At 40.9% G+C, this 13,756-nt stretch overlaps 1 protein-coding gene across 1 annotated transcript, besides 1 other annotated feature; it reads left to right on the forward strand.

The window, feature by feature from the left end:
* Positions 73–172: a silencer, noted in NCBI's record as "silent region_12720". NCBI's record gives its function as "represses an Ori minimal core promoter by ATAC-STARR-seq in GM12878 lymphoblastoid cells {active_cell/tissue: GM12878}" and the evidence as "EXISTENCE:reporter gene assay evidence [ECO:0000049][PMID:35858748]".
* Positions 9,624–11,945, forward strand: LOC124904962 (uncharacterized). Its single transcript, XM_047440637.1, has 2 exons — positions 9,624–9,835; positions 11,386–11,945. Exons 1-2 carry the CDS (start codon positions 9,708–9,710, stop codon positions 11,609–11,611), a joined length of 354 nt encoding a protein of 117 aa, XP_047296593.1. The 5' UTR covers positions 9,624–9,707; the 3' UTR covers positions 11,612–11,945.
* Positions 11,946–13,756: the final 1,811 nt, after the last annotated feature.

Consider the following 13,756-nt stretch of genomic DNA (forward strand, 5'->3'; position numbering starts at 1 on the left):
CCTCGCTTATTGCTAGTACAGCAGTCTGAGATTGAACTGCAAGGTGGCAGCGAGGCTGGGGGAGGGGCACCTGCCATTGCTGAGGCTTGAGTAGGTAAACAAAGCTCGAACTGGGTGGAGCCTACCACTGCTCAAGGAGGCCTGCCTGCCTCTGTAGACTCACCACTAGGGGCAGGGCAGAGCCAAACAAAAGGCAACAGAAACCTCTGCAGACTTAAACGTCCCTGTCTGACAGCTTTGAAGAGAGTAGTGGTTCTCCCAGCACAGAGTTTGAGATCTGAGAATGAACAGACTGCCGCAAGTGGGTCCCTGACCTCCGAGTAGCCTAACTGGGAGGGACCCCCCAGTAGGGGCAGACTGATACCTCACATGGCTGGGTACCCCTCTGAGACGAAGCTTCCAGAGGAACAATCAGGCAGGAACATTTGCTGCTCAGCAATATTCGCTGTTGTGCAACCTCCGCTGCTGATACCCAGGCAAACAAGGTCTGGAGTGGACCTCCAGCAAACTCCAACAGACCTGCAGCTGAGGATTCTGACTGTTAGAAGGAAAACTAACAAACAGAAAGGACATCCACACCAAAACCCCATCTGTATGTCACCATCATCAAAGACCAAAGGTAGATAAAACCACAAAGATGGGGAAAAAACAGAGCAGAAAAGCTGAAAATTCTAAAAATCAGAGCATCTCTCCCCTTCAAAAGGAATACAGCTCCTCGCCAGCAATGGGACAAAGCTGGATGGAGAATGACTTTGACGACTTGAGAGAAGAAGGCTTCAGACGATCAAACTCCTCTGAGCTAAAGGAGGAAGTTTGAACCCAATGCAAAGAAGCTAAAAACCTTGAAAAAAGATTAGGCGAATGGCTAACTAGAATAACTAGTGTAGAGAAGTCCTTAAATGACCTGATGGAGCTGAAAACCATGGCATGAGACTACATGAAGAATGCACAAGCTTCAGTAGCCAATTCCATCAACTGGAAGAAAGGGTATCAGAGATGGAAGAACAAATGAATGAAATGAAGTGAGAAGAGAAGTTTAGAGAAAAAGGGTAAAAAGAAATGAACAAAGCCTCCAAGAAATATGGGACTATGTGAAAAGACCAAATCTATGTCTGATTGGTGTACCTGAAAGTGATGGGGAGAATGGAACCAAGTTGGAAAACACTCTGCAGGATATTATCCAGGAGAACTTCTCCAACCTAGCAAGGCAGGCCAACATTCAAATTCCAGAAATACAGAGAACACCACAAAGATACTCCTCGAGAAGAGCACCTCCAAGACACATAATTCTCAGATTCACCAAAGTTGAAATGAAGGAAAAAATGTTAAGGGCAGCCAGAGAGAAAGGTCGGGTTACTCACAAAGGGAAACCCATCAGACTAACAGCGAATCTCTCTGCAGAAACTCTGCAAGCCAGAAGGAAGTGGGGGACAATATTCAACATTCTTAAAGAAAAGAATTTTCAACCCAGAATTTCATGTCCAGCCAAACTAAGCTTCATAAGTGAAGGAGAAATAAAATCCTTTACAGACAAGCAAATGCTGAGAGATTTTGTCATCACCAGGCCTGCCCTAAAAGAGCCCCCGAAGGAAGCACTAAACATGGAAAGGAACAACCAGTACCAGTCACTGCAAAAACATGCCAAATTGTAAAGAACATCGATGCTCAGAAGAAACTGCATCAACTATCGAGCAAAATAAACAGCTAACATCATAAAAACAAGCTCAAATTCACACATAACAATATTAACCTTAAATGTAAATGGGATAAATGCTCCAATTGAAAGACACAGACTGGCAAATTGGGTAAAGAGTCAAGACCCATCAGTGTGATGTATTCAGGAGACCCATCTCATGTGCAGAGACACACATAGACTCAAAATAAAGCGATGGAGGAATATCTACCAAGCAAATAAAAAAAAAGCAGGGGTTTCAATCCTAGTCTCTGATAAAACTGACTTTAAACCAACAAAGATCAAAAGAGACAAAGAAGGCCATTACATAATGGTAAAGGGATCAATTCAACAAGAAGAGCTAACTGTCTTAAATATATATGCACCCAATACAGGTGCACTCAGATTCATAAAGCAAGTCCTTAGAGATCTACAAAGAGACTTAGACTCCCACACAATAATAATGGGAGACTTTAACACCCCACTGTCAACATTAGACAGATCAATGAGACAGAAAGTTAACAAGGATATCCAGGAATTGAACTCAGCTCTGCACCCAGTGGACGTAACAGACATCTATAGAACTCTCCACCCCAAATCAACAGCATATACATTCTTCTCAGCACCACATCACACTTATTCCAAAATTGACCACATAGTTGGAAGTAAAGCACTCCTCAGCAAAAGTAAAAGAATACAAATTACAACAAACTGTCTCTCAGACCACAATGCAATTAAACTAGAACTCAGGATTAAGAAACTCACTCAAAACTGCTCAACTACATGGCAACTGAACAACCTGCTCCTGAATGACTACTGGGTACATAACGAAATGAAGGCAGAAATAAAGATGTTCTTTGAAACCCATGAGAACAAAGACACCACATACCAGAATCTCTGGGACACATTTAAGGCAGTGTGTAGAGGGAAACTTATAGCACTAAATGCCCACACGAGAAAGCAGGAAAGATCTAAAATTGACACCCTAACATCAAAATTAAAAGAACTACAGAAGCAAGAGCAAACAAATTCAAAAGCTAGCAGAAGGCAAGAAATAACTAAGATCAGAGCAGAAATGAAGGAGATAGAGACACAAAAAACCCTTCAAAAAATAAATGAATTCAGGAGCTGGTTTTTTGAAAAGATCAACAAAACTGATAGACCACTAGCAAGACTAATAAAGAATAAAAGAGAGAAGAATCAAATAGACACAATAAAAAATGATAAAGGGGATATCATCACCAATCCCACAGAAATACAAACTACCATCAGAGAATACTATAAACACCTCCACGCAAATAAACTAGAAAATCTAGAAGAAATGGATAAATTCCTGGACACATACACTCTCCCAAGACTAAATCAGGAAGAAGTTGAGTCTCTGAATAGACCAGTAACAGGCTCTGAAATTGAGACAATAATTAATAGCTTACCAACCAAAAAAAGTCCAGGACCAGATGGATTCACAGCCGAATTCTACCAGAGGTACAAGGAGGAGCTGGTACCATTCCTTCTGAAACTATTCCAATCAATAGAAAAAGAGGGAATCCTCCTAACTCATTTTATGAGGCCAGCATCATCCTGATACCAAAGCCTGGCAGAGACACAACCAAAAAAGAGAATTTTAGACCAATATCCTTGATGAACATTGATGCAAAAATCCTCAATAAAATACTGGCAAACAGAATCCAGCAGCACATCAAAAAGCTTATCCACCATGATCAAGTGGGCTTCATCCCTGGGATGCAAGGTTGGCTCAACATATGCAAATCAATAATCGTAATTCAGCATATAAACAGAACCACAGACAAAAATCACATGATTATCTCAATAGACACAGAAAAGGCCTTTGACAAAATTCAACAGCCCTTCATGTTAAAAACTCTCAATAAATTAGGTATTGATGGGACATATCTCAAAATAATAAGAGCTATTTATGCTAAACCCACAGCCAATATCTTACTGAATGGGCAAAAACTAGAAGCATTCCCTTTGAAAACTGGCACAAGACTCACCACTCCTATTCAACATAGTGTTGGAAATTCTCTCCAGGGCAATCAGGCAGGAGAAGGAAATAAAGCGTATTCCACTAGGAAAAGAGGAAGTCAAATTGTCCCTGTTTGCAGATGACATGATTGTATATTTAGAAAACCCCATCATCTCAGCCCCAAATCTCCTTAAGCTGATAAGCTACTTCAGCAAAGTCTCAGGATACACAATCAATGTGCAAAAATCACAAGCATTCTTATACACAAATAACAGACAAACAGAGAGCCAAATCATGAGTGAACTCCCATTCACAATTGCTTCAAAGAGAATAAAATACCTAGGAATCCAACTTCCAAGGGATGTGAAGGTCCTCTTCAAGGAGAACTACAAACCACTGCTCAACGAAATAAAAGAGGACACAAACAAATGGAAGAACATTCCATGCTCATGGATAGGAAGAATCAGTGTTGTGAAAATGGCCATACTGCCCAAGGTAATTTATAGATTCAATGCCATCACTATCAAGCTATCAATGACTTTCTTCACAGAATTGGAAAAAACTACTTTAAAGTTCATATGGAACCAAAAAAGAGCCCACATAGCCAAGACAATCCTAAGCAAAAAGAACAAAGCTGGAGGCATCACGCTACCTGACTTCAAACTATACTACAAGGCTACAGTAACCGAAACAGCATGGTACTGGTACCAAAATAGAGATATAGACCAATGGAACAGAACAGAGCCCTCAGAAATAATACCGCACATCTACAACCATCTGATCTTTGACAAACCTGACAAAAACAAGAAATGGGGAAAGGATTCCCTATTTAAAAAATGGTGCTGGGAAAACTGGCTAGCCATACGTAGAAAGCTGAAACTAGATTCCTTCCTTACACCTTATACAAAAATTAATTCAAGGTGGATTAAAGACTTAAATGTTAGACCTAAAACCATAAAAACCCTAGAAGAAAACCTAGGCATTACCATTCAGGACATAGGCATGGGCAAAGACTTCATGACTAAAACACCAAAAGCAATGGCAACAAAAGCCAAAATTGACAAATGGGATCTAATTAAACTAAAGAGCTTCTGCACAGCAGAAGAAACTACCATCAGAGTGAACAAGCAACCTATAGAATGGGAGAAAATTTTTGCAATCTACTCATCTGACAAAGGGGTAATATCCAGCATCTACAATGAACTCAAGCAAATTTACAAGAAAAGAACAAACAACCCCATCACAAAGTGGGCCAAGGATATGAACAGACACTTCTCAAAAGAAGACATTTATGTAGCCAAGAGACCCGTGAAAAAATGCTCATCATCACTGGCCATCAGAGATATGCAATTCAAAACCACAATGAGATACCATCTCACACCAGTTAGAATGGCAATCATTAAAAGTCAGGAAACAACAGGTGCTGGAGAGGATGTGGAGAAATAGGAACAGTTTTACACTGTTGTTGGGACTGTAAACTAGTTCAACCATTGTGGAAGACAGTGTGGCGATTCCTCAAGGATCTAGAACTAGAAATACCACTTGACCCAGCCATCCCATTACTGGGTATATACCCAAAGGATTATAAATCATGCTGCTATAAAGGCACATGCCCACGTATGTTTATTGCGGCACTATTCACAATAGCAAAGACTTGGAACCAACCCAAATGACCATCAATGATAGACTAGATTAAGAAAATGTGGCACATATACACCACGGAATACTATGAAGCCATAACAAAAGGATGAGTTCATGTGCTTTGTAGGGACATGGATGAAGCTGGAAACCAACATTCTCAGCAATCTATCACAAGAACAAAAAACCAAACACCGCATGTTCTCACTCATAGGTGGGAATTGAACAATGAGAACACTTGGACACAGGAAGGGGAACATCATACACCAGGGCCTGCCATGGGGTGGGGGGAGGGGGGAGGGAAAGCATTAGAAGATATACCCAATGTAAATGAAGAGTTAATGGGTGCAGCACACCAATGTGGCACATGTATACATATGTAACAAACCTGTACGTCGTGCACATGTACCCCAGAACTTAAGGTATAATAATAAAAAAAAAAAAAGAAAATGAAGACAAGCTGCAGATTGAGAGAGAATATATGCAAAGGATACATGTGATAAAGGATTGTTATCCAAAACATACAAAGAACTCTTAAACTTAACACTAAGGAAACAAACAACTCATTTAAAAAATATGCCAAAGACTGAAACAGACACTTTGACAAAGATATGCAGATGACAAACAAGGATATGAAAAGATACTGCACATCATACGTCATTAGGGAACTGTAAATAAGACAATAATGAGACATCACTATTCATTAGAATAAAAATCCAAAACACTGACACCACCAAATATGGCGAGGATGTTGAGCAACAGAAACTCTCATTCATTGCTGCTGAGAATGCAGAATGGTACAACTACTTTGCAAGATGGTTTGGTGATTACTTACAAAACTAAACATACTCAACATGGAATTCAGCAGTTGTGATCCTAGGTATTTGCCCAAATGAGTTGAAAACTTATGTCTACACTAAAACCTTCACACAGATGTTTATGGAAGCTTTATTCATAATGGCCAAAACTTTGAAGGAACCAAGATGTCCTTCAGCAAGTGAATGGATAAATAGATTGTGAAACATTCAGACAATGGAATAATATTTAGCACTTAAAAAATGAGCTATTGAGCTGTGAAAAGACATGAAGGAACCTTAAGTGTATATAGCTAAGTGAAAGAAGCCAATCTGAAAGGGCTACATAGTGAATGATTCCAACTACATGACATTCTGAAAAAGGTAAAACTATGTGGATAATGAAAAGATCAATGATTGCCAGGGGTTGAGGAGAGGGAGGGATGAATAGATGGAGCACAGATAATTTTTAGGGCAGTGAAAACTGATCTGTAGAATACTACAGTGTTGGATATATGTCTATTGAATACAAATCTATTGAATATACAGCACCAAGAGTGAACCCCAATGTAAACTATGGACTTTGGGTGATAATGATGTATCAGTGTAGGTTCCTGGATTGTAACAAATGTACTGCTTTGGTGGGGGATGTTGATAGTGGAAGAGACTGCGCAGATGTGGGAGTGAGGGGTGTATAGGAACTCTGTACTTGTCTATTCATTTTTCAGTGAATCTTAAACTTCTCTAAAAATAAAGTTTGTTAAAAAAATAATGTCTCAGCCCTCTCATTTTAAGTATAGGGCAACTGCTGGCTAATAACTCAGCCTCATACTGTACTGAGAAACTGAAAGCAACTCCTCAGTTGGTAATAGCCTCAAGGTACCACCCATATATCGGCTGGCATCTGGGCCAAGCCTTTTTTTCTTCTTCCGCTCCTGGGATAGTTTCATGGAAGCCAGCCCCTTCTGACATGGCCTGAACCACATCTATTCTCATAGCCTCAGGACCTCCCTCCTTTAGTTGTTCCCTTTCTCCTGAAACAATGCCCTCTTTTCTTTACTAGACCATTCCCATCAGCAGGTAAACATATTCTAGTATCTTCCATGCAGAAAAGATTTTTCCTGGTCTCATATTTCTCCCGAGCCAGCGCTGGTTCTTCACTCCCTATGTTATAGCTTCTCAAGGGTTCCATCTGTTCATACTCACCTCTCATTCTCTTGTCAGCTCACTCCATCACTCCATTAAGACTCTACATGGAGGCCGGGTGCAGTGGCTCACACCTGTAATCCTGGCACTTTGGGAGGCTGAGGCAGTTGGACCACCTAAGGCCAGGAGTTCAAGACCAGCCTGATCAACATGGTGAAACCATGTCTCTACTAAAAAAATACAAATAAAATAAAAAAAAAATTAGTCGGACAAAGCAGTGGCACTTGCCTGTAATCCCAGCTACTCAGGAGGCTGAGGCAGGAGAATTGGTTGAACCCGGGAGGCAGAGGTTGTGGTGAGCCAAGATCGCACCACTGCACTACAGCATGGGCAACAGAGCCAGATTCCATCTCGAAAAAAAAAAAAAAGACTCTTCATAGACACCAAGATCTTTGTGTTTCTAAATTCAACAGCCACTTTCTATTATTCCACATAATCTTAGCAACAGTTGAGCAACCACTCAGCAACTACTGCCCTCTTCCTGTAATACTTTCTTTCCTTGGTAGATCCCCTACCTCCTTGAGTACTTTTTCCTTATACTCTCCTCTACTCATCCTCCAAATGCTGAAGTGCTCTTTCCTGGGCACCCTTTCCTTCTTTATCTGCAAACTCTCTGAGTGACAATATTTAGGCCTCAGACTTCAAATCCTCTACATGAAAAGACTCCAAAATTTCCACCCGCTCCTCTCACCTAAACCCATAAACCCAAATCTTCATGGATGTCTATAGGGAACATGTCTGTAATGGCCCAAACAGAACTCCAGGTGTATTCCCCCAATCTACCTAGAATATTTATCATTTCATTTCTGCAAACAATATCCAAAATTGATTCATTTTTTGCTAAAGCCAAAAGTCTATGCAACCTCTCTGAATTCTCTTCTTCTTTCACACCAGTAAGTCTTCCTTTCCTTACATATATAGATATCCTGAATCCTTCACTTCTGTGAATTCTCACTACCTTAGTCCAAGCTTCTAGAACACTGGAAGAGTCTGTAGTCTCCTAAGGCATATACTGATTCAGTCATTGCTCTGTATGTTTTAATCCCACAGAGACACAAGGAGATTTTTTAAAAGCATGGATCACATTGCTTTCCTACTTCAGACTTTCCAACAACCATGTCCCATTGCTTAGAATGCAGTCCAAGCACTTATCTGGGTTCACTTACTCTACTTGGTCTCACCCTTGTCCTCCCTTCTGATCTTGTCTCCAAGTTGCAGCTTCAGCAGCCTACACCACCACAAGCCCGTGCTTGTTTCTAGGCTTAGCACTAGTTATTTCCTCACCAAGGAATGCCATTGAACTTGATCTTTGCAGAGTAGGCTTCTTCTTGTTGCTCAGATCTTAGATTAAATGTAAAGTCACCCAAGAGGAAATCTGTTCAGAGTGGCTGCCCAAGCATGGCCATTTTGCTCCATCTAAAGTTTCTGGATAGTCTTTTTCATCCCCTCATTCTCTCTCTCTCTCTCTCACACACACACACACACACACACACACACACACACACTTTTTCCATTACTGTTGGCCTTCTTCACTGCTGTATTTTTGATGCTGAGAAACCTGTCTGGCACACAGTGTGTGCTCAATAAATGTTTCTGACTGAATAGATAGAAGATACAGTGGAATGACTTGCCCCAAATTGCTCAGCGAGTGGCAGGAAAAATGAAAGAGTCTACAACCCTTGACTCTTTGCACATTATGCCATCCCCAAAACAGGAAGATTGTTAGTACTATTGCTTTTTCTGAAATATTATTTGGCCTTTAAAAAGAGGGAAATTCAGTCATTTGTGACAATGTAGATGAAGCTGGAGGACATTGTGCTAAGTGAAATAAGCCAGGCACAGAAAGACAAAGTCTACGTGATCTCACTTACATGCAGAATCTAAAAATGTCGAACTCAAAGCAATAGAGAGTAGAATGGTGGCTACCAGAGGTTGGGGGAAGGAATGAGGAGATATTGATCAAAGGGTGCAAAGTTTCCATTAGAAGGAAAATATGATTTTGGAGTCTATTGCACAGCATGGTAACAATAGTTAATAATAAAGTATATTTTTAAATAATGAAAAGAATACATTTCCAGTGCCATAACTCTTAAAACTCACTGACAAACTCAATTTCAAGTGGTAACTTAGATTTTGATGTTAAAAGAAGTGCAAGACCATATCACAAACCTAGCAAGTCTAGACTTGCATTTGCAGGTGACTAAGATTTCAGATGATTCCCCCACGTTAGAGATCAAATAAATCTTGATAACATGCCTGTTTGTCCATAAAAACTTAGTTTTACATACTAACACTGCCTTTTGTGTATATTTAAACAGAACAAATGGTAATTTATTATGTTCTCCAGAAACTGATTTTGCAACATTGCTAAACTAGCAGACTGGAGAGATGCTCACAATTCTCAGATGATATGAGTGTTTCTCTGCATGGGCATCAGAGCTGCCACTGCTTGACATTCCAAGAACTTCCCAGCTACAGGTTCATCACCTTCTCCTCCCAGGAAAGACATGTGAGATTCTGCACAGAGACAGGAATGTCGTAAGTATAACTTGCTCTGTGCTTTTCCTTTATTTGAGGCAGGAATTCATTCCCTGGCTGAATGCCATGGGTTACTTATTCTGGGTATTACATTGCACTTTATTAGATACAAATAAAACTTTTATGAAAGTGTTTATAGGAGTGAATGCTGGAAGACCCACTTATATCTCACAGGTGCCAAAGAGCCTGAAGTCATGCCAGTGGTGGAGTGCTGATTGGAACAGACTGGGTTTGGATGACATCTCTACTCATCTGTAATGGAAGCTGTGTCAAAGTAAACCTTCCTCAGGCACCTGTAGTCTGCCTTGGTTGCTTAGATTTGTTTGTAATTGTTTTTATCCTTTCACAAATTGTGCAATACTGCTTATCAAGCAATGATTAGTAAATGAACCTGTCATTATTTTATCTCACTGAGTAATATCAGGAGTTATAAAAAGAAAATATTTCCCAAGCCTTACCCCCACGACTCTAGTATCTACAATTCACTGGCCTTAACACCAGCCTACAGTCCTAAAATGGTATCTGATACTTGTTCATCAGCTTCTTCTTTTATTTTTTTTTTCAGATAGGAAAAATTTTGAAAAACTCTGGTGGCCTTTGGGTGATGAAGTTAATGATAATTGCCACCTTTTTTCATGAAGTTTCTTGAACTTTGACAACTTTAGGAACAATAATACTGATATTGATAATATGTCATCTTGTTCTCATGTTCTGTGATTCTGAAGGTGAATATATATATTATTTTCATTTGACCAGTGAGGAAAATAAGGATGAGGACATAATTTAAACCTGGTCAATTCACAGGCAGGGACAAGGTGGGACTCACAGTCAATTCTCTGACTTCCAGTCAGAAATCTTGACCCTAAGCGTTTTTCGTACATGAATAGGTTAGATCTATTAATGAGTAGGTAAGGTGAGATGTGGGGTCTATCCTGGCCTTTTAGGTGCAGGTTGAGTTATCAAATCTATGAGAAAAACCACATCCACTAGAAGTCAGAGAATCTGAATGTGAGTTCCACCCCTGTCCATCTTATTTACCAGGTATAAATCATGTTCTCATTCTTATTTTCCCTCAGAAGCAAGAACTGACCACCATGTACATCAGCTGGAACCTTTCTGGAATCCACACAGTGTAATAATCCTTAGGAAAAGCTACCTGGGATTCAGCTGTTACAATCAGAAGGCCACGAACACTCAACTGGAACCTTTCATAATCCCAGTAAAAGGAAAGATTCAGCTCTTGTCCTGATTGCAGACTTTGTGTTGGTATTTTAAAATCTGTATCGGTGAATAATTTCAAATTTTAAATCTACCTACATAGTTGACAAAGACTTTGGACTGTGATGATTTTAATGTGTATCTATGAATTATTTAATACTCTTTCCTTCGAAGGGTAGAATACATTTTCACTTTTCTTAAGTGTGGGGTAAACTTAATGACTCATTTGTAAAAAATAAATTGAAGTATGCATAGAGGTGTCACTTCTAATGCTAGGTCATAAAAGACGTTTTGTTTTCTGCCCTGTTCTGTCTTTCTCTTTGATCATTCAGGCTGGGGGATGCCAGCTGCCATATTGTGAAGACCCTCAAGCATCCCTGTGGAGAGGTCCCCATGGCACAGAAATGGACTCTCAGCCCAAAAGCCAACAAAGAACCAAGGCCTCAAGCCAGCAGCCATGGGAATGGGAATGTGCCATCTTGGAAGCCAATCCTGCAGCCCCAGTCAAGCCTTCAGATGACAGTAGCCCCAGCCAATATCTTCACTGGATCTTACTGAGAGACTATGTGCCAGCATGACCCTACTAAACAACTCTCAAATTTCTGACCCTCAGAAATTGTGTGAGATAATAATTGTTTTTTGTTTTAATATGCTAAGCTTTAGGTTTGTTTGTTACTCCAAATTAGACAACTAATTCAGAATGCAATATATACACTCAGCCAGGTCAACTCCTCTGCTTCTTGATGCCTGGGGAGAGTGGAGAGAGTGATGGATCCCCATTATTATTGCACCCAGGGTACACTGGTCTGGGTTTAGAATGTCTTGTGCTTTTTCAACCTTCTGTTCCCACATTTCTCAGTAGTATGTATATTAAACTCTCTTCAGTAACCCACTTTGAGTCTGCCATTTTTTCCTGTTAGGTTCCCACCTGAAGTGGCTGCCATGTAACATCTACACAAACTCCAGCAAGTGGTGGTGGTATCACCTGTGCTGTGAATACCTCCCAGTGCAACCATGCCTATCACATTGGATGATGCCATTCAGAGCTGCTAGTGTCAGCAAAGCCAGGCTCCAGTGTCACCAGGGTGGTTTGCCTGCATCACAGGTTCTTCGCCGACATCACCAATGGCTGTGCTGCCCAGGCTTTGCTCTCTCCAGTGCTCCTTTGATATTTGCGCGCCCCCCACCTCCTCCTAGGACTCAGAAGTAAGTCATGTGAGATGTGCGGGAAAGGAGCCAAGAGAAGGGCAATTAGAATCACCCTGAAGCAAATTTGTCTTTCCAGGATGTCCTGCCCAGGGCTTTACTGGGGTCTCACATGAATAGCTCTTGGCAGTGCCCCAGTGCACTAGAAATGCTTATAAATTCCTGAATCCCAATGTGAACAGAGTTTGGGTCAGTCTGGACCCTTGCTTCATACACTTAGAAGTCAACTGAAGTGAAAGATTTAATTTGACTATATTTTGTGATTCATAAGTCATTGCTTCTGTAAAGATTTTGAATCTGATACTCAGAGGCTAAAATACAAAGAATTTGACACCATCCTGGGATCTTGAGTAGGATGTACATAGAAGACATGATAACAGGCTGGGCACTGTGGCTCACGCCTGTAATCCCAGCACTTTGGGAGGCCGAGGCAGGTGGATCAGGAGGTCAGGAGATCCAGACCATCCTGGCTAACACGGTGAAACCCTGTTTCTACTAAAAATACAAAAAGTTAGCCGGGCGTGGTGGTGGGCACCTGTAGTCCCAGTTACTGAGACTACAGTCTCAGGCTGAGGCAGGAGAATGGTATGAACCCGGGAGGCGGAGTTTGCAGTGAGCCGAGATTGTGCCACTGCACTCCAGCCTGGGGGACAGAGCAAGACTACGTCTCAAAAAAATAAAAAATAGACATGATAACCAGAAATGTCATTTGATTCTGGAATCCAAGACCCCACCAGGAGCTGTGATGCGGCCCGGGAGGCTGCTGAGAGTGCCCCTTCTGAAGTCAGGTGCCACCATAGCCTGTCTCGCCCTGAGCGTCCCTCAACTCCACTTGTCTCCTCCAGCCCTCCACCTCTTGAAGCAAGTGGAAAACCCTTTTCTATTTTTGGAAATGCTTACACAAATGTGTGAAAGAGTAAAGGATTTTGTCTCAATCCTGGCAAGTCTTCGTCTTTCCGATGCCTATGAGGATGATAAAAAAGTTTCGGGAATAGATGAATTTGTTTACAGAGAAAGCCCTAAAGACCGGGGTGGTTTTAGATAACATTTCCTAGGGCTATTCAAAGACCCCAGGAGCTTCTCTCCCTTTATTTTTCTTGGTTTCATTTCTGAAAAATGAAGGCTGTCTTTAAATCCCCCAATACTGTCAGAGACACTAAATCCAAAGAACATTGCTGCATTCTTTGCTTTGCTGTAAGGCTGAGAGATTTTTTGTCTCAAGATCTTTTGTTGCTTCTTTATTAAACTGGTTAAAGTATAAAACGAGAGAGAGGGGAGAGATTCCTTGAACTTCAGTAGCTGTGGCTTCAATTGTAGCTCATGTTGCTTGTTTTTAGTTATTGACAGAAAGCCTTAGTTAGAATATACCAAATCTATTCTTTGAATGTATTATGCTGATGTAGGTCACTGATTATCTCCATGCCAGGCACCATGAGAATTTTTCCTTCTCATCTGGCTCCTCGACCTTCCTGAGCCTTCAGCTGGTTGCCCGCCTGC

This window comes from Homo sapiens, chromosome 20 (assembly GCF_000001405.40).
Source record: "Homo sapiens chromosome 20, GRCh38.p14 Primary Assembly".
Classification (NCBI taxonomy): Eukaryota; Metazoa; Chordata; class Mammalia; order Primates; family Hominidae; genus Homo; species Homo sapiens.